The sequence below is a fragment of the Homo sapiens genome, chromosome 4 (genome assembly GCF_000001405.40).
Source record: "Homo sapiens chromosome 4, GRCh38.p14 Primary Assembly".
NCBI classification, from domain to species: domain Eukaryota; kingdom Metazoa; phylum Chordata; class Mammalia; order Primates; family Hominidae; genus Homo; species Homo sapiens.
Window position 1 is genome coordinate 150,944,968 of NC_000004.12, and position 23,087 is coordinate 150,968,054.

Sequence of the window (23,087 nt, forward strand, 5' to 3'; positions counted from 1 at the left end):
CTTTGTTCCTCCTTCGCCTTCCACTACGACTGTGGGGCCTCCCCAGCAATGTGGAACTGTGAGTCCATTAAAACTCACTTTCTTTATAAATTACCCAGTCTCGGTTATTTCTTCACAGCAGTATGAAAATGGACTAATACAACTGGAAAGTTCTTTTTTTCCATCTCAAATATCCAAGTCAGTCTGAAATGTGGAAGGTATTTAGAGTTCAAGGAAAAAAAGGCAGAATCAAATAATTCGAGTACCTATATAAATATCTTCTATAAAATTACGTATAGAAAATAAGATATAAAGATATCTATTGCAGCACTATTTGTGAAACTGAAACATTAGATATAGCCTAAATATCCAGCAATAGAGAGATACTTATAACCAGCTGATGGCCATGTAATGGAATATTGTACAGCCTTTAAAAAGAATATAAATCAATATGTGCTGGCATGCCACGATGTTCAAGACACAATACTAAATTTTTTTAAAGGTGCAGGACAGTATTTACAGTATGACCACATTTCCTTAAAAGATACAATTATATTTAAATCAGAGATAAGTGAAACTGCAGTTTCAGCCTAGGTAGTTGCCAAAACATATTGCTTGGTTTCAGCTAAGTGCCCACTTATGCACTGCTTCTGACATTCCTAAAGTGTAGGTGATAAATAATTGTATTATCAAGTATATTAACATCATATATAATCAGTATGACAATGTCAGTAATATAGATAAGGCAAGTCATTCGGATATAGTATCTGAATATTCACTTTCAAATGCAGACAAATTTTTGAGGAAAAATCTCCTTATGTGCTTTATATGGTAAAAGTGAGGAATTAAGGCATATTTCTTTTTTTTTTTTTAGATGGAGTCTCGCTTTGTTGCCCAGGCTGGAGTACAGTGGCACAATCTCAGCTCACTGCAACCTCCGCCTCCCAGGTTCAAGCGATTCTCCTGCCTCGGCCTCCCAAGTAGCTGGGACTACAGGTGTACGCCACCAAGCATGGCTAATTTTTGTATTTTTAGTAGAGACGGGGTTTCACCGTGTTAGCCAGGATGGTCTCAAACTCCTGACCTTGTGATCCACCCACCTCAGCCTCCCTAAGTGCTGGGATTATAGGCGTGAGCCACCATGCCCAGCCGGCATATTTCTTATTATAAGAATAAAATGCTACAATATTTATTTATTATGAAATAAACAGTATTATGAAAGCTACTAATTTTATCTTACAAAAGTAACTGTGCCTTCCTCAATAATTGGTAGAAATAAACAGAAAATCAGAAAGGATTAAAAGAACTCAATAACACTATCAACAAAGAAGAACTAATTGACATTTATATAAGACTCCACCCAATTATAGAACAATAAATATTGTTTACAAGGGCCTATGGACTAGAGATTATATTCTGGGACATAATACAAACTCAACAAATTTAAAGATATTGAAAGTATATGGAGTGGGTTCTCTGACCACAATGAAATCAAACTAGGAATCAATAACAGAAAGATAAAGATCACAGAAAAATGTGCGAACACTTGGAAACTATTACACTCCTAAATAGTTTATGTGTCAAAAGAGGAAGTCTCAAATAAATTTTTTAAATACGATGAACTGAATCAAAATAAAAATATAATATATCAAAATTTGTGGGCCATACCTGAGAGGGAAATTTGTAGCACTAAAACCAGAAGTCTCAAATCAATAATCTAAGTTTCCATTTTAAAGAACCTAGTAGAAAAGCAAAATAAGCCCAAAACAAGCAGAAAGAAGGAAATAATAAAGACAAAAGCAGAAGTCAGTGAAGTAGAAAGTAGGAAAACAATAATCAATGAAGAGCTAGTTCTTTGAAAAGATCAATAAAATTGACAAACCTTGGCAGGACTTAAAAAGCAGCAAGAAATAAGACACAAATTACTAGTATCAGGGAGAAAACACTATCACTACAGGCCTTAGAGGCAGCAAAAAAAAAAAAAATAGGGAATACTGCAAACAACTCTAAACATATAATGTGACAACTTAGAGGAAATGGACCAATTCCTCAAAACTGGAAGCTACCACTACTTGCCCAATATGAAATAATTTGAATAATCCTATAATTATTAAGGAAATTAAGTTCATAATTTTAAAATTCAAAAAAGAAATCTCAAAGTTCACATGGTTTCTCTGGAGAATTCTTCTAAATATTTTTTAAAAAATTAATGCCAATTTTAAATTTCTCAATCCATTTTACGAAGCTACTATTTTACTAAAACCAGACAAAGACAGTACCAAAAAAAAAAAAAGCCTATACACCAATATCCCTCATGAATATAAACACCAAAATTCTTAACAAAAAATTAGCAAGTAGAATTCGGCAATAAATAAGAATTTTACACCATGGCCAAGTAGATTTTATTCCAGGAATGCAACACTGTTTTAATATTTAAAAATCAATTAATGTAATCCACCATATTAATAGGATAAGGTAGGACAATCACACGATCATATCAACTGATGCAGAAAAAGTATTTGACAAAAATTCAATAACACTATTGAGGATAAAAACTCAGAAAAATGGAAACAAAAAAAAACTTCAACTTGATAAGCAACATTTACATAAAACCTACGACTAACATTATACTCAATGATAAAAGACCGAGTATTTTCTCTCCTAAAGATCAGGAACATGGCTAAGACATGCACTCTCACTACTTTTATTCAAATTAGTGCTGAAAGTTCCAGCCATGGCAATTCAGCAAGAAGAAATAAAAGGTATGCAGGTGAGAAAGGAAGAAATTAAGCTGTCCCTATTTGCACCAAAGACATTTCCAAAAACAGAAACCTCCTAGAAATAATGAGTTCAGCAAGGTAACGGGTTACCAGATAAACATTTAAAAATCAATTATACTTCCATATACTACCAAGGAACATGTGGGCAATGACATTTAAAATATACCATCTATAATTGCTCAAAAATATGAAGTTCTTAGATGTAAATCTAACAAAATATATACAGGACTTGAATGCTGAAAACAATAATATGATGATGAAAGAAATCAAAGAAGATCTAAATAAATGGAGAGGCACACTGCATTCATAGTACAGCTGTCAATTCCTCCAAAACTGATATATAGATCTAACATAGTTCCCATCAAAATCCCAGCAAGACTTTTGCAGATATAGAAAAGATTATTGTATGATTTATATGGAAAAGCAAAGGAACTAGAATACCAAAAACAATCTTGAAAGAGAAAGATAAAGTAGAAAGAATCCATCTACCCAATTTCAAAACTTATTATGTAGCTACAGCAATCAACACTGTGAGGAACTGGTGGAGGGGCAGACACATAAATCAATGAGACAGAATAAAGAACCCAGAACTAGACCCACACAAATATTCTGAACAGTTTTAACAAAAGTACAAAAAGCAATTCAAGGGAGAAAGAAGAGTCTTTAAAACAAATGGTACTGGAACAATTACAAATGAACTTTTCTTTACCTAAGTATTACACCTTACACAAAAACTAACTCAATATTGATCACGGATTTAAATGTAAAATATAAAACTTTTTTAAAAACATAGGAGAAAATCTTCAGAATTTAGGGTTAAGCAAGAAGTTTTTAGACTTGACACAAAAGCAAGATCCATACAGGGAAAACTGATAAATTAGGCTTTATTAAAATTAAAAATTCTGCTCACCAAAAAACCTTTTCAGGAGGATGAAATGGCAAGCTACAAACTAGGAGAAAATATCTGCAAACCAAATATCTGACAAAAGAATAATATCTAAAAAATATAGTCTCTCAAAAGTCAAGAGTAAAAAAAATCCAATTAGAAAATGTGCAGAAGAACGTTTCACCAAAGAAGACATAAAGAAGACACATAAACACACACACACAAAAAGTCTAACATCATTAGGCATTAAAGAAATGCAAATTAAGACCACAGTGGATATCACTATACATCAATCAAAACAACTAAAAAAATAATGACAACACCAAATGCTGGTGAGGATGTGGAGAAACTGGATAATTCGTATGTTGTTGGTGGGAATGTAAAATGACACAGCCACTATGAAAAAGTTTGGTAATTTCTATTTAAAAAAAAAAAACTAAATATGCACCTACTATTCAATCTAGCAAGTGCACTCCTGCCATTTTTCCCAAATAAATAAAAACTTATGTTCACACAAAAACCTGTATATAAATATTTACAGTAGTTTTGTTGGTAATAGCCAAAAAGTGGAAATCACTCGGATGTCCTTCAACAGCTAAATGGTTAAACAAACTGTAGTACATCCATACCATAAAATACTATTCAACAATAAAAAGGAACAAACTATTGACACACACAGCAATCTAGAAGAATCTCCAGAGAACCAATTGGTTTTTTTCTCAAGTTCGTACAGTCTTCTGGAGATTCTTCAACTGACAAAAATATAGAAATTGAGAACAGATTGGTGGTTGCCAGGGGTTAAGATGGGGTAGAGGAAAGTGGGTATAGCTGTAAGAGGGTAACAGGAGGAAACTTTCTGCACCTCGATTATACCAATATCAATATTGTTCTAGTTTTGCAAGATTTTCCCATTGGGGGAAACCGGATAAAGAGTACAAAGGATTTCTCTGCATTATGTCTTCAACTGCATGTGAATCAGCAATTATCTCAAAATAGAAGACCTAGTTTTAAAAAATAAGTAATTCTATGTGAGGTATAAATTGTCACAGGATTAATTTTCCACCAATTATTTCCCATTGAAAAGAAAACTATATTAACCTAAATGAATCTTCAATTGGTAGAAAAATGAGAGCCAAATTAAGCGGCAAGGAAACTCGTAAGTTCAAATTCTGAAGCCACCTACAGACATACATAATCCCAGCTTCTTTACTTATCCCTCCCTCCCTACTCCAGCCAAAAAAAAATCAGTATATTTAATTACTTGCCCTACACCTGAAAAAATGTTTGCCATATACTATACAAAAAAGATGAAGCATATATTGATATCACACAGAGTTTAACTATATATCCTACTGACTCACATCTAATACTTGCATTATAGAATAAATATGCAAATTTGAACCTTCAAACAGGAAATGAAATTTTCTAAATCCATTACATAACTTCAGATTCATGTGTGCACTGAAGGCTAATAAATCATCTAAACCTTCATACAGAGAACCTTTTTAAATTTGCATTTATCTACAGTAAATTCTGTCATGTTCTTTAATAGCTTGCTGGTTCAATCTAGCAAACTAGTGATTTATAGCAGTGACATATTTCAAAAATCAGAAATCTCTCACTATGTGACAACCAGTCAAAGTCCACTGAACTTACATTACTTGAACTCAAACATCATAGGATATGAAAGAGATAGCAAAATGTCATGAATTTCATATTCAAATCAATTTGAGTTTATGTTTATAAGTGTTTAAAACTATAGCATCACATACATTACTTAATACTTCAGTACCCCAAATATTTTATGTCATGATTCCCTCAATGTGTCCAAACTACCTGTATTTTAAAATACATTTTTAAATTTGATAGTTCATAATTTGAAGACTCTACAAATCTTACTTTGAAGAACACCAAAATTTAGGGTACATGAAAGAAAGATCTATATATTAGGTTTTCTCCACCAAAAAAAAAAAATGTACTTTTAGATCTTTATAATAATTTCATACCAATATCCTTATGTAGGGAGATTTATCAGATGTGAAAATGGAGATTATATTAACAATAGGGAAATAAACTGGAAATTACCAAAATGTTCACTGTAATAGACAATGTTGTTTTTGTCTGTATTGTATTTACTCTTCCTTCCATCCTCTTCCATTTATGGAATTCTGACAAGAAAGTCTCAGTACCTCACACCCAGGTCACAGAGAGGTCACTTAAGTCAGGCCTGGCTAAATATATACTTCCCCCTTCTACTGGCCACAGTGATTAATACAAGACTGAGAATGTGAGCTAAGTCAGGCCAATCAAAATCATTACCAAGACTGTTTTTTAATTTATAAGGTGAAAAAGAAGGGCTCTTGGTCTTTGGGTCAAAAGTAGGAGAAATATGTAAACTGAAGGCTTCCAGCAGATATGTTCCCTGCCATGTGGACAGAGGAGGCCTAGCTGCACCATAAATGGAAGAAGAATATTCTGGTGACATCAATTCCCTGTTTCCAGGGTTTCCCTGGTTCTTGCAGCTTCATTCAATGATGTAGCCTGGTCCTATGAACCAATCATTCCCTTTTATACTTAAGCTACTTTGATGTAAGATTCTATCTCTTACAATGAGAAAATCCCGGATTAATTCCAAAAAAAGAAGGAACTAGCTGAATTATGGCACATACGTATAGTTGTATATAACACAGCAATTTTTTAAATCATTTTCATTCATAGTTCTCCACTGACAGTCTACGTTAGACTCAACATCATCTTTTTACAAAAAAAAAAAAAATTCTTTGTGACACCCCTATACTAACCTGAAATAAAAGTGACACATTCCATTTTATCAATTATTTTAAAAAGATCAGAGATCAGAATGTGTCTTATAATCAATGGCATCTAAAATTACAATTGCAGGGTTTTTTCCTAATGCTGCATAAAAATAATGACAAATCTTACAACTTGGCATCTTAGACTTGAGGAAACACAATAGATAATAAGACCTACCTATAAACAACAACAAAAATCTACAAAGTACTCTAACCATAATAAAAGAAAAATAATTAAAATACTTTTCAGTATTTTTTCCATATATAAATCCTTGTAAATAACCAAATAATAAAGTAGTTAGGTCCTGGTAACTATATACAGAATCTACATTAATGTATGTTACAGAAACAAGGCACAGTGATTCAGGTGTGTATTAGATATTCAAATACTATTATATTCCAATTAGACGTGATTTTTAATTCTTCATAAAGTTCCAAATAAAACAAAGTATGATTTTTTTCTTCTTTAAAGCTTACTTATGTTTCTAAAAAAACTCAGCATATGTTAAAAGTATTCAAAAAGTTTATGCTGATATGGAAAATGAAATTAAAGTCTAATAAGTTCAGGAGAACAGAGGATATCACACCTTGCTGTTTGCAAATGTATCTTCCATTGCAAGGTCCTTAGCAGCCTTAGTCCAGAACACTAAGTGTCCACTACCAACTCCAAATCATTCTAAGAACCAAAAATACTCACCAAATTTCCTAAACACCTCCAAGGAGCAGTACTGGTCTCACTGAGAACTACTCATGATTGGACAAGGAAAGATGTTTAAGATACATGATTAAAGGAAAAAAAGCAGATATGTACAAAATAACCTGTTGTATATGTGTGTGTGTGTGTGTGTGTATGTCTATAGAGAGAGAGATAGGTAGAGACAAATGAAGACAGATGCTGATACATATAAAAATGTGTAGGATGTATATGGGTGTGTGTGCTGCAAGAAGGGCAGACAATAAACTATTAACAATGGCTACCTCAAAGAAGTGGGTTGAGGAGAGGGAAATTAGACAGTCAGTCTTTCATTTTCACTTCATACTTTTTTAAATGAGCATATACTGCTTTAAACAATAAAAAAAAGGACTTTAAAAAATCCAAGTAGTAAAGGCCATGTCCAACATCATTCCCAAGAGCCTGTCTCTTTGCCTGTGTCTGTCAATGTCTGCCTGAGCCTCATCCTGACCGTCTATAAGGCCGTCTGTTTCTCTCTCTCTTTCTCTCTGTGCGTGGGGTGGGCGGGGTGGAGAGGGTTTCTGTACCTATCTCTCTCTGGTTCTTGGTATCTGCATATCTCTTCTTTGAGTGTGTCTCTCTTGAAATTATGTGTATCTGTGCTTTACTCTCTGAGTATCTGTCTCTCTGTGTATGCATGAATGTCTTCCTCCCGGAGCACAGACGGAAGCATGGGCCTTGACCTCCTCCCAGTCTTAATGCATTCATCTTTATATCTCTGTGTATGTGTCCATCTTCCACTTTCTCACTTACAATTATTTTGCTTCCTTTCCTCTTCTGTTTCCCTGACCCCTCATCTCCCTCCATCAAGCCCTTCGCCCATCTTGTCTTCCTCTACTACCTCCCCAACTGTTTCCATATAAGCAAAGTTCACACTGCTAGAGTGTTAATGTGTTCATAGCCCTGATAAACTCTCTTCAACTGGATCACAAATGATCATTTCTATCTGAAGAGCGTATCTGAAGAGTTCTGTTAGTTACAAAATAACATGCTAACTAAATTAAAATTAGGGTAACTAATCCTTATTTTAATAATAGAACAACTCAGCAGAAGATCAACATGAAAAACAGAAGAGGTGAACAACACTATAAACCAACTAACCTCACGAACATCTATAGGATATTTATTCTCCAGGATAGACCATGTTACTCATCCATAAAACAAATCTCAATAAATTTAAAAGAATAGCTCCCTCTCCCTCTCTCCCTCCCCCTCCCCCTCCCCCCCCTCTTTGCACGGTCTCCCTCTGATGCCGAGCCAAGGCTGGACTGTACTGCCGCCATCTCGGCTCACTGCAACCTCCCTGCCTGATTCTCCTGCCTCAGCCTGGGAGTGCCTGGGATTGCAGGTGCGCACCGCCACACCTGACTGGTTTTCGTATTTTTTGGTGGAGACAGGGTTTCGCCGTGTTGGCTGGGCTGGTCTCCAGCTCCTACCGCGAGTGATCTGCCAGCCCGGGCCTCCCGAGGTGCCGGGATTGCAGACAGAGTCTCACTCACTGAGTGCTCAATGTTGCCCAGGCTGGAGTGCAGTGGTGTGATCTCGGCTCACTACAACCTCCACCTCCCAGCCGCCTGCCTTGGCCTCCCAAAGTGCCAAGATTGCAGCCTCTGCCCGGCCGCCACCCCGTCTAGGAAGTGAGAAGCGTCTCTGCCCGGCCGCCCATCATCTGGGATGTGAGGAGCCCCTCTGCCTGGCTGCCCAGTCTGGGAAGTGAGGAGCGCCTCTTCCCGGCCGTCATCCCGTCTAGGAAGTGAGGAGCATCTCTGCCCGGCCACCCATCTTCTGGGATGTGGGGAGCGCCTCTGCCCCGCCACCCCGTCTGGGAGGTAAGGAGCGTCTCTGACCGGCCACCCCGTCTGAGAAGTGAGGAGCCTCTCCGCCCGGCAGCCACCCCGTCTGGGAAGTGAGAAGCCCCTCCACCCAGCAGCCGCCCCGTCTGGGAAGTGAGGAGCATCTCTGCCCGGCAGCCGCCCCGTCGGGGAGGTGGGGGGCAGCCCCCGCCCGGCCAGCCGCCCCGTCCAGAAGGTGGGGGGCCCCTCTGCCCGGCCACCCCGTCTGGGAAGTGAGGAGCCCCTCTGCCCGGCCGCCACCCCGTCTGGGAGGTGTACCCAACAGCTCATTGAGAACGGGCCATGATGACGATGGCGGTTTTGTCAAATAGAAAAGGGGGAAATGTGGGGAAAAGAAAGAGGGATCAGATTGTTACTGTGTCTGTATAGAAAGAAGTAGACATAGGAGACTCCATTTTGTTCTGTACTAGGAAAAATTCTTCTGCCTTGGGATGCTGTTAATCTATAACCTTACCCCCAACCCCGTGCTCTCTGAAACATGTGCTGTGTCCACTAAGGGTTAAATGGATTAAGGGCGGTGCAAGATGTGCTTTGTTAAACAGATGCTTGAAGGCAGCATACTCGTTAAGAGTCATCACCACTCCCTAATCTCAAGTACCCAGGGACACAAACACTGCAGAAGGCGGCAGGGCCCTCTGCCTAGGAAAACCAGAGACCTTTGTTCACATGTTTATCTGCTGACCTTCCCTCCACTATTGTCCTATGACCCTGCCAAATCCTCCTCTCTGAGAAACACCCAAGAATGATCAATAAATACTAAAAAATTTTTTAAAAATTAAAAAAAAAAGAACCTAGACTCAGAAATCAAAAAAAAAAAAAAAAAAAAAGAATAAAAGGAACACCAAGTATATCATTTGACCATAAGGGAATAAAACTAGAAATCATAACAGAAAGAAATTTTGGAAACTCAACAAATATATGGAAATTAAACAACACACTCCTAAATAGCCTATATAAAAGAATAAGTGAAGAAAAAAAATTAGGCTAGGCACAGTGGCTCACACCTGTAATCCCAGCACTTCAGGAGGCCAAGGCAGGTGCATCACTTGAGCCCAGAGTTCGAGAATGGCCTGAGAAACATGGTGAAACCCTGTCTCTACAAAAAACAGAAAAATGAGCCAGGTGTGGTGGCACATGCCTGTAGTCCCAGTGTCTCAGGACACCTGTGAGGATCACCTGAGCCTGAGAGGTAGAATCTGCAGTGAGCCACCATCACACCACTGCACTCCAGCCTGACTGAAAGAGTGACACACTATCTCATAAAAGAAAAAGGAAAGGAAAAAAAGAAAATAGAAAATACACTGAGATGAATGAAAATGAAGATACAACATGACAAAATGTATGGAATGTATAAAGCAGTGTTCAGAGGGAATTTATAGCTGTAAATGCCTACTTTAAAATAGAAGAAAGATACTAAATCAACAATATAACCTTTGAACATGCATAAAAAGAAGGAGCCAAGCCATGTCCGGTGGCACCCACCTGTGGTCTAGCTACTCAGGAGGCTGACGCAGGAAGATTGCTTGAGCCCAGGAGTTCGAGGTCAGCCTGGGCAACACAAGGCAAACCCCCATCTCAATAATAATAATAATGACGTAGGCCGGGCGCCGTGGCTCACACCTGTAATCCCAGCACTTTGAAAGGCCAAGGCATGCAGATCTCCTGAGGTCAGGAGTTCAAGACCAGCCTGGCCAACATGGTGAAACCCCATCTCTACTAAAAATACAAAAATTACCCAGGTGGGGTGGTGGGCGCCTGTAATCCCAGCTACTTGGGAGGCTGAGACAGGAGAATCACTTGAACCCGGGAGGCAGAGGTTGTGGTGAGCCGAGATTGTGCCACTGCACTCCAGCCTGGGCAACAGAGAGAGACTCCATCTCAAAAATAATAATAATAATGTAGCCTTCCATCTTAAACCCTACAAAAGAAGCGCATAGTAAACCTAAAGCAAGCAAAAGGAATAAAATAATAAAGATTACAGAAGAAATGAATGAAACAAATGAGAATAAAATGAAATTAACAATATAAAATTAGTGGTATTTTTAAAAATAAAATCAATACAACCTGGCTTCTTTGGTCCTTCAACAACAACAACAAAAAAATGAAATTGACAGATTTTTAGTTAGACTAACCAAGAAGAAAAGAGAAGACTCAAATTACTAAAATCAGAAATGAGAGTGCATTACTACCAACCTTACATAAATGAGATTATAAAGACACACTATGAACAATTGTATGCCAATAATTAGACAACTTAGATAAAAGGAGCAAATTCCTCAGAGGGATACAAACTACAGAAACTGACTCAAAAAGAAATACAAAATACAAACAGACCTACAACAAGAATTAAATTAGTAATAAAAAAATCAACTCACAAAAAACAAAACAAAAAAAAAACTTAGGCCCAGGTGGCTTCACTGGTGAATTCTACCTAACATTTAAAGACAAATTAATACAATTCTTCACAAACTCTTCCAAAACACTGAGGAGGAGAGAACACATCCCAGCTAAATCTATGAGGCCGGTACTAACCTTATGCCAAGATCAGACAAAACCATCACAAAAAAGAAAACTACAGACCAATATATCTTATGAATATGAACACAAAAATCCTCAACAAAATACTAGCAAACCAAATCCAGGAACATATAAAAACAGTTATACACTATGACTAAATGAGATTTATTCCAGGAATGCAAGCTCAGTTTAACATTCAAAAATTAATAAATGTGATACACCATAAAATGAAAAACCACATGATCATCTCAATAGACAAAAAAAGCATCTGACAAAATCTAATACCTTTCATTATTAAAACACTTAACAGACTAAGAATAGAAAGAAACTTCTTCAACCTGACAAAGGGCATCTATGAAAATCCCACAGCTAACATCATACTTAATGGAAGTATCACTATGAACCAATTAGGTATTTTATCTTAAAATACATATACACACACATATACACATACACACTCACACATAAATATGTAATGTGTGTGAGTGTGTGCGTGTGTGTGTATGTGTAGTTTTATCAACTGGAAAGGGGTACAAACAATGACCAACACAATAACAATGAACATGCTTACTGCCCAGATTGTGGTCTTGAAATACCATTTCTCACTAAAAATCAGGGCTTCTTGAAGGAGTAGCTTGTATTAGTCTGTTCTCACACTGCTAATAAAGACATACCTGAGACTGGGTAATTTATAAAGGAAAGAGGTTTAACTGACTCACAGTTCCACTCCCCAGTGGAACTGGGGAGGCCTCACAATCATGGCTGAAGGTGAAGGTGGAGCAAAGACATGTCTTTGCAGGCAAGTGAGCATGTGCAGGGGAACTCCCCTTTATAAAACCACCAGATCTCATGAGACTTATTCACTATCAAGAGAACAGCACGGAAAGACCTGCCCCCATGATTCAATTACCTCCCACTGGGTCCCTCCCACAACATGTGGGAATTGTGGGAGCTAGAATTCAAGATGAGATTTTGGTGGGGACACAGCCAAACCATATCATTCTGCCCACGGCCCCTCCCAAATCTCATATCCTCACATTTCAAAACCAATCATGCCTTCCCAACAGTCCCCCCAGTCTTAACCCATTTTAGCATTAACTCCAAAGTCCACAGTCCAAAGTCTCATCCAAGACAAGGCAAGTCCCTTCTGCCTATGAATCTGTAAAATCAAAAGAAGCTAGTTACTGCCTGGATACAATGGGGGTACAGGCATTGGGTAAATACACTCATTCCAAATAGGAGAAATTGGCCAAAACAAAGGGGCTACAGGTCCCGTGCAAGTCCAAAGCCAGTGGGACAGTCAAATCTTAAAGCTCCAAAATGATCTCCTTTGACTTCATGTCTCACATCCAGGTCACACTGATGCAAGAGGTGGGTTCCCACGGTCTTGGGCAGCTCCGCCCCTGTGGCTTTGCAGGGTACAGACCCACTCCTTGCTGCTTTCACGGCTGGCGTTGAGCATCTGCAGCTTTTCGAGGTGCACAGTGCAAGCTGTCAGTGGATCTACCATTCTGGGGTCTGGAAGATTGTGGCCCTCTTCTCACAGCTCCACTAGGCAGTGCCCCAGTGGAAACTCTGTGGAGGCGCTTGTACCCCACATTTCCCTTCCACAGTGTCTTAGCAGAGGTTCTCTGTGAGGGCTCCACCCCTGCAGCACACCTCTGCCTGGACATCCAGGTATTTTCATACATCCTCTGCAATCTAGGTGGAGGTTCCCAAACCTCAGTTCTTGACTTCTGTGCACCCAAAGGCCCGACACCACACATAGGCCATCAAGGCTTAGGGCTTTCACCCTCTGAAGCAATGGTGTGAGCTGTATATTGCCCCCTTTTAGCCACAGCTGGGATGCAGGGCACAATGTCCCCAGACTGCACAAAGCTGCAAGTCCCGGAGGCCAGCCCACAAAACCACTTTTTCCTCCCAGGACTCCAGGCCTGTGATGGGAGGGGCTTCTGTGAAGACCTCTGACATGCCCTGGAGACATTTCCCTATTGTCTTGGCAATTAACATTTGGCTCCTCTTTACTTATGCAAATTTCTGCAGCTGGCTTGAATTTCTCCTCAGAAAATGGGTTTTTCTTTTCTATTGCATCATTAGGCTACAAATTTTCCAAACTTTTACACTTTGCTTCCTCTTGAATGCTTTAGCACTTAGAAATTTCTTCCACCAGATACCCTAAATAACCTCTCTCAAGTTCAAAATTCCACAGACCTCTAGGGCAAGGGTAAACTGCCGCAAGTCTCTTTGCATGGCAAGAATGATCTTTACTCCAGTTCCCAACAAGTTCCTCATCTCCATCTGAGATCACCTCAGCCTGGACTTTATCGTCCATTTCACCATCAGCATCTTGGTCAAAGCCATTCAACAAGTCTCTAGGAAGTTTCAAACTTTCCCACATTTCCCTATCTTCTTCTAAGCCCTCCAAACTGTTCCAACCTCTTCCTGTTACCCACTTCCAAAGTAACTTCCACATTTTCAGGTATCTTTACAGCAGCACCCCACCCTACCATTACCAATTTACTGTCCGAGTCTGTTCTCACACTGCTAATAAAGACATACCTGAGACTGGGTAATTTACAAAGGCAAGAGGATTAACGGACTCACAGTTCTACATGCCTGGAGAGGCCTCATAGTCAAGGCTGAAGGCAAAGGAGGAGCAAAGACACATCTTACATGGCAGCAGCCAAGAGTGTGTGCAGGGGAACTCCCCTTTATAAAACCATCAGATCTCGTGAGACTTATCCACTATCAAGAGAAGAGCAGGGGAAAAACCCACCCCCATGATTCAATTACCTCCCACTGGGTCCCTCCCACATGAGACCTACAATTCAAGAAAGATTTTGGTGGGGACACAGCCAAGCCATTATGATAGCTGGTTCAAGGTCTGGAACTAGAAATGAAAATATGAGCCTGAAATATCTTGCCATAAAAATAGCAGAAACATGATCAAAGTCTAGTAGGGTTGTACCAAAAGGACTCAGGAATCAACCTGAAGAAGTGCCTACTGGCCAAAAATAAAAGTTTGAGGTTCAATAAAGTAATAATAATTGCCATCAAATATGTTTAAATCCTTTAATTCATAATATTTCAAAAAGACAATAACAACGAATTGGTCTCCTGTAGAGGATAAGAAGAGAAATGGCTGTTACTTACAAAATTAATGAATAAAAGGAATGAAACTGTTCCAATTACATATTTATATAATATTTATATAATATGTAACATAGTGTAAATCTAATATACTTATTATATTATCTATAATTATATATAAAGAACATATAAAAAGTATATAAATATATAAAAGAATGTAAATACACAAAGAATATATTTATAAATCTATATAAAGTATACATAAATATATAAAGTGTGTGTGTGCATGTACGTATACATACTTTTTTTTTTTTTTAAGAAACAGGGTCTTCCCATGTTGCCCAAGCTGGCCTTGAACTACTGTGTTCAAGGAATCCTCCTGCCCCAGCCTCCCAACTAGCTGGGGCTACCGGTGTGTACCACCATGCCTGGCTTATCTATGTATTAACTGTGCCACTGGATAACTAAATACAACTGGATAATTAAATACATCTTTTCATAGAACTATTCCATTTAATACATGAAAAAATATATATAATATCATCATTATTCAGACTCCAGTGATTTAATGGATCTAGATGTTGAGAATCAACAGCTGATAACATTATAAAAAGAGACAACCTGACATAAGAGCCTCCGGATGACAGAACACAGCACCACCTAGAGTCTAGCCAAAGGTATGGAAGCCAAATCTTCTGGAATCAACTTCCAATTTGCAGGAAATACGGAGGACACAAGAACATGTTAAACTACACCATGAATATGCACTTAACAAAATCCAGACCATGGGAAATGCTAAATGTCAAAAGGTCCAGGTTTTTTAAAAGGTCCAGGTTTTTTTAACAGATAGAATGACCTGAGACTTAAAAAACGTGTTTTTTAAAACTAAGAAAAACTAAATTATAGATAAGGGATGTATTATTAGATTACATAATTACAAATAAATAAAAGAAAGTGATTACTGTAAAAGTCAAGATAGAGGTTCCATTTGAGGGAGAGAGGCAGTTGTAATTAGAGGGATTCTAAGATGACTGGCAAAATTCTATTTCTTGACCTACATGGTGGTTTAAAGGTAATTATTTGCCCTTTAGTTTTATATTTGTTTTGGTTTGGTTTTTCAATAGTTACAGTTTTACAATAAAAATTTTTATGAGAAAGTTCTGTCAATGGTTAATTTCATATTTTAAAACATCTATATTCAGGCAATGCAATTCCATCATAAAATTAGTAGTTTCAGTTTTTGTAAACTTGTAACTCACAGCCTGTATTAAATACATATAACACATTTCTTTCAGTGACTCCTAAGAAGCTTCTGATGCATAACTAACCTCCATATGTAAGTCACCTCAAAACAGTAACAGTGCTCTCAAGCTGCCTCAGGGAACATGGCGCCACCTCTCTGCTGAGTTATGTATAGCCACTTTGGCCGCCCACTGCATCCTGATGGTGATGGGGGAGACAGGCTTTGATTGCCAGTCACACCCCTCTATCCTCACCCCATATTGGCTGTGGCTGTAGATGAGATTCAGCTGTGGGTGGCCTCAGCTCACCAACCACTGCCTTGGTTTTGAGGGTCAAACCCAGGCTCAAACAGGTGGGGGAGGAGGATAAACAGCCATATTCACAAATGCATTCTTGAATCACTGAATCTATGTGAAATAATTAAACAAAAGAGAATGTCCTTAAAAAGAACTCATATTTGCAGGCCTAATCTTCACCCAAGAGATCTTAAAATGCTATCACCTTATGCATAAGAGCTAAAGAGAAATACTGCAAGGCATCATGATATCCTGAGAAAACTTAAAGCTAAGACAGAAGAAACAGAGATTAGCCAGAAAAAAACAAAGTCTAGAAAAATCAACATTGATATATTTCAAAAGATTTAACAGCTGCAGAAAATGAGTTTCAAAAACAAAAAATACTATTTTTAAAAATACCAGTCTTATTATTTTTATTAGAAAGGTTAGGAGGATAGAAGAGAAGCAAGTAGACAAGCTGACTCTAAATTTCTCTAGGAAAAGTAAGCAAACAGGAATAGCCAGGAAGCTGTGAAAAAGAAGTGCAACAATGGGAAGCTAGCTCCATCAGAGATTAAAACATAATATGAAATAAAATAACTTTTTTAAAAAGCGGTAGCAGTAGATGAATGTCTGCTAGATGAAGAAGAGAACAGAAAGTCCACACATAGTGCCAAAGACAACAGGAAATTATCACACCATAATAATAGCAATTTTTAGAGCACTTACTTGTGCCAGGCACTAAGAATCTTATGTATATTAAATGTCTGACTACTCCATGAGATAGGTACAATTATTGTATTTTTATTTGAGGAAACTGAGGCATAGACATATGAAGTAACTTGCCCAAGATCTCAGAGGCAAGAAGTGGTGCTGCTAGAATTTCAACCTAGGTAATCTAGCTACAAAGTCCACACTCTTAACCTGTACGCACTATGGTTTTTCTGTTTTTCATTCAGGTGACATCTCAAATCATGGAGGAATAATAAACAATTCAATAAACAGCATTAAATTGGAATTCAATTTTTTTCTACATATGTTCAAATGGACATTTGTAGAAAAAATAAATTGGCCCATATTTCAAATCAGGAAAAATTTCAGGCCAGACACAGTGGCTCACACCTGTAATCCCAACACTTTGGGAGGCTGAGATAGGAGGATTGCTTCAGTCCAGGTGTGCAAAACTGGTCTGGGTAACATGGGGAAACCCCATTTCTACAAAAAAATGCAAAATTAGCTGGGCATGGTGGTGCTCACCTATGATCTCAGCTACTCAGGCAGCTGAGGTGGAAGGATCACTTGAGCCCGGGAAGTCCCAGCTACAGTAAGCTGTGATCACACCACTGCAATCCAGCCTGGGTGACAGAGTGAGATGGATAAATACCAGAGTGATAAATACCATCAAAATAATACAGGAAAGCATAGAACTTTAAGGAAGTTCTGAGTAAGAAAAGCCTTTCTATGTATGATTCAAAACCCACTAACTATAAAAGAATAGCACAATAAATTCAAGCTACATAAAAATAAAAAGCTTTTGGCTGGGCACAGTGGCTCGTGCCTGTAATCCCAGCACTTTGGGAGGCTGAGGTGGACAGATCACTTGAGGTCAGGAGTTCGACACCAGCCTGACCAACATGGTAGAACCCTGTCTCTACTAAAAATATAAAAATTAGCCGGGCGTGGTGGCATGTGCCTATAATCCCAGCTACTTGGGAGGCTGAGGCAGAAGAATTGCTTGAACCCAGGAAGCAGAGGTTGCAGTGAGCCGATATCACACCACTGCACTCCAGCCTGGGTGACAGAGCCAGACTCTGTCTGAAAAAAATAATAAATAAAATTTAAAAGAAATAAAAATAAATAAAATAAAATAAAAAGCTTTTTATTAAAAAAAAAAACACCACTAGTCAAGTCAAATCAATCCCTTTAAAATAAGAAGCTTCTAGAAAATAACAAAAACATCAACTCAATATAAAAAGGGGCAAAGTAACATGTTATTTAACAATGAATTTAATCCCTCTCCCTCTCACTCTGCCTCTCCCCCTCCCCCTCCCCTTTGCACGGTCCTCGTCTCCCCTTTGCACGGTCTCCCTCTGATGCCGAGCCGAGGCTGGACTGTACTGCTGCCATCTTGGCTCACTGCAGCCTCCCTGCCTGATTCTCCTGCCTCAGCCTGCCGAGTGCCTGGGATTGCAGGCATGCGCCACCACACCTGACTGGTTTTCGTATTTTTTGGTGGAGACGGGGTTTCGCCCTGTTGGCCGGGCTGGTCTCCAGCTCCTGACTGCGAGTGGTCTGCCGGCCTCGGCCTCCTGAGGTGCCGGGATTGCAGACAGAGTCTCGTTCACTCAGTGCTCAATGGTGCCCAGGCTGGAGTGCAGTGGCGTGATCTCGAATCGCTACAACCTCCACCTCCCAGCCGCCTGCCTTGGCCTCCCAAAGTGCCGAGATTGCAGCCTCTGCCCGGCTGCCACCCCATATAGGAAGTGAGGAGCGTCTCTGCCTGGCCGCCCATCGTCTGGGATGCGAGGAGCCCCTCTGCCTGGCCGCCCAGTCCGGGAAGTGAGGAGTGCCTCTTCCCGGCCGCCACCCCGTCTAGGAAGTGAGGAGCATCTCTGCCTGGCCGCCCATCGTCTGGGATGTGAGGAGCCCCTCCGCCCGGCCCCCCAGTCTGGGAAGTGAGGAGCGCCTCTTCCCGGCAGTCATCCCGTCTAGGAAGTGAGGAGCGTCTCTGCCTGGCCGCCCATCATCTGGGATGTGGGGAGCGCCTGTGCCCCGCCGCCCCGTCTGGGATGTGAAGAGTGCCTCTGCCCTGCCGCGACCCCGTCTGGGAACTGAGGAGTGTCTCTGCCCTGCCGCCACCCCTTCTGGGAGGTGAGGAGCGTCTCTGACCGGCCGCCCCATCTGAGAAGTGATGAGCCCCTCCGCCCGGCAGCCTCCCCGTCCGGGAAGTGAGGAGCGTCTCCGCCCGGCAGCCGCCCCGTCCAGGAGGTGGGGGGCAGCCCCCGCCCGGCCAGCTGCCCCGTCTGGGAGGTGGGGGGCCCCTCTGCCCAGCCACCCCATCTGGGAAGTGAGAAGCCCCTCTGCCCGGCCGCCACCCTGTCTGGGAGATGGGGGGGCCCCTCTGCCCAGCAGCCCCGTCTGGGAAGTGAGGAGCCCCTCTGCCCGGCCGCCACCCCGTCTGGGAGGTGTACCCAACAGCTCATTGAGAACGGGCCATGATGACGATGGCGGTTTTGTCGAATAGAAAAGGGGGAAATGTGGGGAAAAGAAGGAGAGGTCGGATTGTTATTGTGTCTGTGTGGAAAGAAGTAGACATAGGAGACTCCATTTCATTCTGTACTAGGAAAAATTCTTCTGCCTTGGGATGCTGTTAATCTATAACCTTACCCCCAACCCCGTGCTCTCTGAAACATGTGCTGTGTCCACTAAGGGTTAAATGGATTAAGGGCGGTGCAAGATGTGCTTTGTTAAACAGATGCTTGAAGGCAGCATACTCGTTAAGAGTCATCACCACTCCCTAATCTCAAGTACCCAGGGACACAAACACTGCAGAAGGCGGCAGGGCCCTCTGCCTAGGAAAACCAGAGACCTTTGTTCACATGTTTATCTGCTGACCTTCCCTCCACTATTGTCCTATGACCCTGCCAAATCCCCCTCTCTGAGAAACACCCAAGAATGATCAATAAATACTAAAATAAAAAAATTAAAAAAAATGAATTTAAAAATGAGCAAAGGATACAAATGGATAATTCAAAGAAAATATGGTCAACCTTAGTCATAAGGGAAATGTAAATTTAAATTCTGATTAATCATCACTTTTTCACCTATTAGACTGGCAAAAACCACAGCTGCTAATACTGTTGGAGATGCTACAGAGGCACTTTCATAGAGTTCTGGAGGGAGAATAAATTAATATAATCCCTGGGAAGGCAGTTTGGCAATATAAACCAAAATTATAAAGGAATAAAACCTTTGACCCAGCAATTATATCTCTAAGAATCTATCCTATAGATACAATTACATTAAGTATGAAATAGTATATGTAAAGATTATTTATTGAAGTATTATTAGTAATAACAAAATACTGGAAACAACCCAGTAAACAGGGGTCAAGACAACCATGGTTCATCTATGCAATAGAATACTTATATAGCTCTTTTAAAAATACAGAAGCTCTGTATAAAATGCTTTAGAAAGACAAATAAGAAAAATTATCAGCAAAGAAAAAGCAAGATGTAGAACAAGGGGTACAGCATGCCACCTTCTGTACAATGAACAAGTGAAACATACAAGTATTTACATTAGTTTATAAAAGCCTAAGAAAATTTAGAAGGATACATGAGCTGCTAATAATACTTTTCAGGTTTTCTCTCTATCGTCTATATATCAATCATTCATCCATCTACCTATCTATTTATTTGAGACAGGGTCTCACTCTGTTGTCCAGGTGGCAGACTGCAGTGGCGTGAACACAGCTCACTGTAGCCACAACCTCCTGGGCTCAAGGGATCCTCCCGCCTCAGCCTCCTAAGTAGCTGGGACTATAGGCACATACGACCATGCCCGGCTAATTTTTTTTTTTTTTTTTAATACAGATGGGGTTTCACCAAGTTGTCCAGGTTGGTCTCAAACTCCTGGGCTTAAACAGTCCTTCCACCTCGGCCTTGCAAAGTGTTGATGTTACAGGTGTGAGCCACTGGGCCTGACCTAGGTTTTCTTAAGCAGTGACTAAATTAACTGAAGGAGAGAGATGAGCAAGGGATAATGTATGCTGGAAACAAGGAGAAAAGAGGTCATAGAGAGAGATTTCATTAAATACATTCCTATTTTTGACCTGTGTTAAAATGTTTCAAAGTCATATATTTGACAGACCAGAAACAATACCATCCCACAGGTACTGGATGAGATACCCCAAATAATATGTTAATATCAATAAAGATAGTGTTTTGTACATGATCCATCTTCATTTTCGTTTTTGACTATGGTATTATGTGAAATTTTGCCCCTGGAGAAAGGGAAGTACATATTGGAGACTGCAGTGGAAGATGGTAGAAAAGAAGTGAATCAGCAACTTATGAGGCAAATGCATTAAAAGCAAAATACCCAAGTGGTATATTTGTAGCTCATTCTCTTAAGTGCTACATCTTACTGCTTGTTTTGTATTGCTAGTTCATTCTTTTTTTTTTTTTTGAGACGGAGTCTCGTTCTGTCACCCAGGCTGGAGTGCAGTGGCATGATCTTGACATACTGCAAGCTCTGCCTCCCAGGTTCAAAGCCATTCTCCTGCCTCAGCCTCCCAGGTAGCTGGGACTACAGGTGCCCGCCACCACACCCAGCTAATTTTTTTTTTTTTTTTTTTTTTGGTAATTTTTGGTAGAGACGGGGTTTCACCATGTTAGCCAGGATGATCTTGATCTCCCAACCTCGTGATCCGCCCGCTTCGGCCTCCCAGAGTGCTGGGATTACAGGCGTGAGCCACCGCGCCCGGCCGCTAGTTCATTCTTAATTATTCAAATTAACTAAAAGGCAAATCAGGATGCTTTCTAGATAATTTTTTGTATTATAAAACCAAGAAGGTAAACAGTGCTAGTTTAAGCATTTGGCTGAGTTAACAGATTTTTCCCAAACAAGAGCACACTGCAGCCTGTATTTCTCAAAACATCTATTACTATTGCATGTCATCCATCAGCATAAACAAATGGAAGTTCAAAAAATAGGGCTGAAACAAGACAGCTTTGGTAAGAATTAATATTTAAATGTCTTCCTCAGTGTCGTGTCATCAGGAATCCCAGGCTGAGGCCCAGAGACAACCTCATGGCCTTGAAATCTAAACAACATAGAAACATAAGCCTTCACTATCTCTTATTAGTTATTTGAGATCTACTATTTACTCCATAAACTTAAAATATCAAGTAAACACTGGTTTTTAATAAAAGTCTAATTTAATTTGTTTTAAATAGTAGTTAAAAAACCATTAACACATTAAGGACATAAAAAAAATTCCTCCTTGAAAAATAACTCCAATTTAATTCAGAACTCTAATGATAGCACATTATTACCACCACCTCAAGCTTCTCAAGACCATTTTAACTATGTAATAACCCCTGAACAAAAATCATCATGGCTTCTCATCACCTACAGAATAAAATTTTAATCACTTGGGCAACAACGCAAAATGTCAAAAAGTCTCACTTCCCATGTTGTCCCTATACAATCCAGTCCAGACTATTTATTATATCCAGAAGGAGTTTTAATATTCTACTCCCTTGCCTTTGCTCTCCCTCCCTAAAATTCAAAGTTTAGCTCTAGCCCCACTTCTACAAAACGACATTTCCAGATAAAACTTGTCCATTGCAAAATATGCTCAGTTCATAGATACTGCTTTGAATTTTTAGTCTCCCATCCAAGTACAGACATACATCATTTTATGGCACTTCATGTTATTGTTCTTTGCAGATACAGCATTTTTTACAAATTGAAGGTTTGTGGCAGCCCTGCATCCAGCAGGTCCATTGGCACCATTTTTCCAACAGCATGTGCTTGCTTTGTGTTTCTGTGTCACATTTTGGTAAATCTCACAATATCTCCAACTTTTTCATTATTATTATATTTGTTATGATGATCTGGAATCAGTGATCTTTGATGTTACTACTGTAACTGTTCTGGGGTATCATAAACCATGTCCATATAAGATAGTGAACTTAATAAATGTGGTATGTGTTCTATAGCTCTACCAAGAGACTATTCCCCCATCTCTCTTCCTCTTTTTGGGCCACCCTATTATCTGAGACATAACATTGAAATTAGGCCAATTAATAAACCTACAATGGCCTCTAAGTGTTCAAGTGAAAGGAAGATTTGCACATCTTTTTTTTTTTTTTTTTTTTGAGACAGAGTCTCACTCTGTCGCCCAGGCTGG

The 23,087-nt window shown here is 39.6% G+C and overlaps 1 protein-coding gene across 9 annotated transcripts in view, besides 3 other annotated features; it reads right to left on the minus strand.

Moving 5' to 3' along the window:
- LRBA (LPS responsive beige-like anchor protein) overlaps nucleotides 1–23,087 on the minus strand; it is a 751,293-nt gene that overhangs the window by 680,533 nt on the left and 47,673 nt on the right. The window lies entirely within an intron of this gene.
- Nucleotides 9,266–9,886: an enhancer, noted in NCBI's record as "NANOG-H3K27ac hESC enhancer chr4:151875385-151876005 (GRCh37/hg19 assembly coordinates)". NCBI's record gives its function as "activates a minimal SCP1, AML or CMV promoter by ChIP-STARR-seq in primed H9 embryonic stem cells {active_cell/tissue: H9 hESC(primed)}" and the evidence as "EXISTENCE:reporter gene assay evidence [ECO:0000049][PMID:30033119]".
- Nucleotides 18,261–19,091: an enhancer, noted in NCBI's record as "H3K27ac-H3K4me1 hESC enhancer chr4:151884380-151885210 (GRCh37/hg19 assembly coordinates)". NCBI's record gives its function as "activates a minimal SCP1, AML or CMV promoter by ChIP-STARR-seq in naive H9 embryonic stem cells {active_cell/tissue: H9 hESC(naive)}" and the evidence as "EXISTENCE:reporter gene assay evidence [ECO:0000049][PMID:30033119]".
- Nucleotides 19,092–19,922: an enhancer, noted in NCBI's record as "NANOG-H3K27ac-H3K4me1 hESC enhancer chr4:151885211-151886041 (GRCh37/hg19 assembly coordinates)". NCBI's record gives its function as "activates a minimal SCP1, AML or CMV promoter by ChIP-STARR-seq in naive H9 embryonic stem cells {active_cell/tissue: H9 hESC(naive)}" and the evidence as "EXISTENCE:reporter gene assay evidence [ECO:0000049][PMID:30033119]".